Here is a 4394-nt window from a genome sequence, read left to right on the forward strand (position 1 = left end):
GCAACTTTTTATATTATATGCCTGTTGGCTATGGAGGTACTCCCTTTTAAAATGTGCCAGTTTGAGTCTCTTGTCCACTTTTAACTGATTTTTTCTTATTTGTAGGAAATTTTTAAATAAATTCTGGATGCTAGTCCTTTGTCTGATATTTATAATGTAAATATTTTCTTCTGTCTAATGTAAATATCTTCCTCTGTTGCTTGCCATTTTATTCTCCTTAAAGTAAGAAAAGATTCTTGGCCGGGCACAGTGGCTCACACCTGTAATCCCAGCACTTTGGGAGGCCAAGGCAGGTGGATCACCTGAGGTCAGGAGTTCGCAACCATCCTAGCCAACAAGGTGAAACCCTGTCTCTACTAAAACTACAAAAATTAGCCAGGTGTGGTGGCAGGCACCTGTAATTTGTACTTGGGAGGCTGAGGCAGGAGAATCACTTGAACCCGGGAGGAGGAGGTTGCAGTGAGCCAAGACCGTGCCATTGCACTCCATCCTGGCCCACAGGAGTGAAACTCTGTTTCAAAAAAAAAAAAAGAGTTTGTTGCTCCCACCGAGTTCTGAAGAACGCCAGCAGCTCGCTGCTTAAAATTAAACCACAGGGTTCCATGATGGGTCAACTTGATGGGAAAGTCATCATCCTGACAGCCGCTGCTCAGGGGATTGGCCAAGCAGCTGCCTTAGCTTTTGTAAGAGAAGGTGCCAAAGTCATAGCCACAGACATTAATGTGTCCAAACTTCAGGAACTGGAAAAGTACCTGGGTATTCAAACTCGTGTCCTTGATGTCACAAAGAAGAAACAAATTGATCAGTTCGCCAATGAAGTTGAGAGACTTGATGTTCTCTTTAATGTTGCTGGTTTTGTCCATCATGGAACTGTCCTGGATTGTGAGGAGAAAGACTGGGACTTCTCGATGAATCTCAATGTGCGCAGCACGTACCTGATGATCAAGGCATTCCTTCCTAAAATGCTTGCTCAAAAATCTGGCAATATTATCACCATGTTTTCTGTGGTTTCCAGCATCAAAGGAGTTGTGAACAGATGTGTGTACAGCACAACCAAGGCAGCCGTGATTGGCCTCACAAAATCTGTGGCTGCAGATTTCATCCAGCAGGGCATCAGGTGCAACTGTGTGTGCCCAGGAACGGTTGATACGCCATCTCTACAAGAAAGAATACAAGCCAGAGGAAATCCTGAAGAGGCACGGAATGATTTCCTGAAGAGACAAAAGATGGGACGATTTGCAACTGCAGAAGAAATAGCCATGCTCTGCGTGTATGTGGCTTCTGATGAATCTGCTTATGTAACTGGTAACCCTGTCATCATTGATGGAGGATGGAGCTTGTGATTTTAGGATCTCCATGGTGGGAAGGAAGGCAGGCTCTTCCTATCCACAGTGAACCTGGCTATGAAGAAAACTCACCAATCATCTCCTTCCTGCTAATCACATGTTAATGAAACTAAGCCCTTTTTAACAATGTCACTGTTTGCAAGAGTCTGATTCTTTAAGTATATTAATCTCTTTGTAATCTCTTCTGAAATCATTGTAAAGAAATAAAAATATTGAACTCACAGCAAGAGAATAGTTTTTAAAATAAATCTCAATTTGTAAGCATCTGTGTTAGTCACTTTGGGCTGCTATAACAAATTACCATAGATGGAGTGTCATAGACAACAAACATTTATTTTTCAGTCTGGAGGCTAGGAAGTGCAAGATCAAGGTGCCAGCAGATATGGTATCTGGTTAGGGCCCACTTCCTAGTTTGCAGATGGTCCTCTTCTTGCTACATCCTCACATAGCAAGAGCAGAGAAAAAAAGCAAGCTCTTATGTGTCTTTTTATAAGGACACTAATCCTGTTCATGGGGGCACTACCCTTATGACCTAATTACCTCCCAAAGGCCCCACCTCCTAATGTATCATATTGGGGGTTAGGATGTCAACACATGACTTTGGGGTGATACAAATAGCCCATTGCAGCATATACAATTAAAATGTAAATATGAAGAAAAAAGGAAGTTTTTGTTTTTTTTGTGGGGGGTGGGGTTAAGGAAGAAGATAGTAATTTCAGGACTAGGCATTGTAGCTCATGCCTATAATTCCTGCACTTTGGGAGGCCAAGGCAAGAGGATCACTTGCTGCCAGGAGTTCAGGACCAGCCTAGTTAATAGAGAGAGGCTAAGGTAGGAGGATTATTTGAGCCCAAGAGTTTGAGGCTGCAGTGAGCTGTAATCATGCCACTGCACTCCAGGGTGACAGAGCAAGACCCTGTACCTAAATAATAATAATAATAATAATTTCCACTTTATTTTTCAATATTCAAATATTTTTATATAATTCTGCATTGTTCTGTATGTAGATCCTAATTTTAAAATTTTACACCATCATAGATGAACAAAGGTAGGAAGCAGTTTGGCTTCAATAGCTTACAGTAAAAGAAGTAAAGGAGTTCAGCCTCAAAACGATATTGTTGATCTGTCATGTTATGAAAAATAATCCAGTGTTTATACTTAACGGATGCCATCCCTTATTAATTATTTACTATTTTCTTAGTCTAAGTAAACACTCTTTATTAAAATAAGCAATGATACTTGACATGGGCCTAAGAAATATATAGTTAGCTAACTGACAACATTGTCAGTTAGAGGGATTTCTTTTTTAAATTAAGTACAGATTTCTTCACCAAACTCCAGGATAACAGAAAAGAGGACATAAAATTTGGACATAGTCTCTGGATAAATAAATGTAAATTTAAATATAAATCATATAACAGGAAACGAAATTAAAGAAAATAAATTTTTCAAGAAAAGTAAATTTATGGATGATAATTCTGTAACATAGTCAGGGCAAAGTTTTTTCTTTTTATTTTAATTTAAGGATTTTATGTTTGTTTTTCACTTGTTGTAACCTCACATGACCAAATGGTATGATGCACACTGAGATACTCAATAAATGTGCAGTTATTCTTAGCCTTTTTTCCTAGAACTTTAATATTAACAAGGAAAATTTTGAAGTGCACAATGAAAAGATAACACTTTGTGTATGGGGAAGAATATCATGCAGTTGATGACAGTACATTAAAATTCACACAAAAGGACATTTTGACTAGCATTCCGAAAGAGTCCATTGATTATAAGATTATCTATGAGGTTTTGGACCAGGCATTACACTACTGAATTATGGCTAACTTTGGTTTGTGATCTAGACCAAGTCACCTAATCTATCTTGGATTTTAGTTTTCTGGTTTATGAAATTAAGGAGTTAAGCTAAATGACTTGGGTTTCTTTTCATGTATCATAATCAAAATGCTGTAACTTCTCTAGTGAATTCATAGAACACTGACTCTTATAACTATGTCATGAAATACTTTATGCTGTGAACAGGTATACGTGTATAATATATGTATAGCTATGAACAAATAAATTTTAAATAAATGCACAATGAATTCTAAAAAAAAAAAGAGAGAGAAAAGAAAATATTCTCAATTTGAATAAAGTCAGTGCACTAGCCTTTCAGTTTATGGTTTGTTCTTCTTGCATCTTTTTAAAGAAATCTTTGCATGTTCCAAGGTTTTAAGTACATTCTCTAATACATTAAATACATTGTTATATTCTGGAAAATTTATTTCACATTAAGATCCATGATCTAAGAATTTATTTTTGTTTATGGTCCGGGATAGGTAGCAAAGTTTGTTTTGTTTTGTTTTTTCCCAAATTTCAACCAGTTGATTCATCACCATTTACTGAAGGAAGAAAAATAGCCTTTGGCACTGTACTACTGTGGCACCTTTGTCATAAATAAGGTGGCCAGGGATATATGCGGGTCTGTTTCAGGACTTTTTCTTCTGTTCCTTTAGCCAATGTGTTGATCCTTGGACCAAGGAAGTAGTGTTAATTACTGTGGCTTTATAAGAAGTTTTGGAATCTGGAATTCTATACTCTTTAAGTTTGTCTTCACTCTTCTTCAGGATTGTCTTTACTATTCTTGATGGTTTGCATGTATATATAAATTTCAGAATCAGTTTGTCAATTTCCACCAAAAAAAAAAAATGCTAGAGTTTTTCTTAAGATGGCATTGAATCTATATTTCAATTTGGTGAGAATACCCATCTTTTCAATTGTTAACCAAAAATAAAATTCTAAGCTGCCCAAATATCTGAACAGACTCCTCCTCTTGGCCAAGGGCATTCCAAAGTTAACCTGAAAAACTAGTTTTGGCCATGAGAGGAAGTGGGGAGTCAGATATGACTCACAGCTGACCAGCATTAACATGAACACAGAAACTTTAAAACTGATAAGAGTCTTAATAGACTCTTTAAGTCTGATAAGAAACATTTATGGCTGGGCACAGTGGCTCATGCCTGTAATCCCAACACTTTGAGAGGCCGAGGAGGGGGGATC

General features: G+C 37.4%; 1 pseudogene; it reads left to right on the forward strand.

The window, feature by feature from the left end:
• On the forward strand, positions 533 to 3449 carry BDH2P1 (3-hydroxybutyrate dehydrogenase 2, pseudogene 1; annotated as a pseudogene).

Source organism: Homo sapiens, chromosome 6 (genome assembly GCF_000001405.40).
Source record: "Homo sapiens chromosome 6, GRCh38.p14 Primary Assembly".
NCBI lineage: Eukaryota > Metazoa > Chordata > Mammalia > Primates > Hominidae > Homo > Homo sapiens.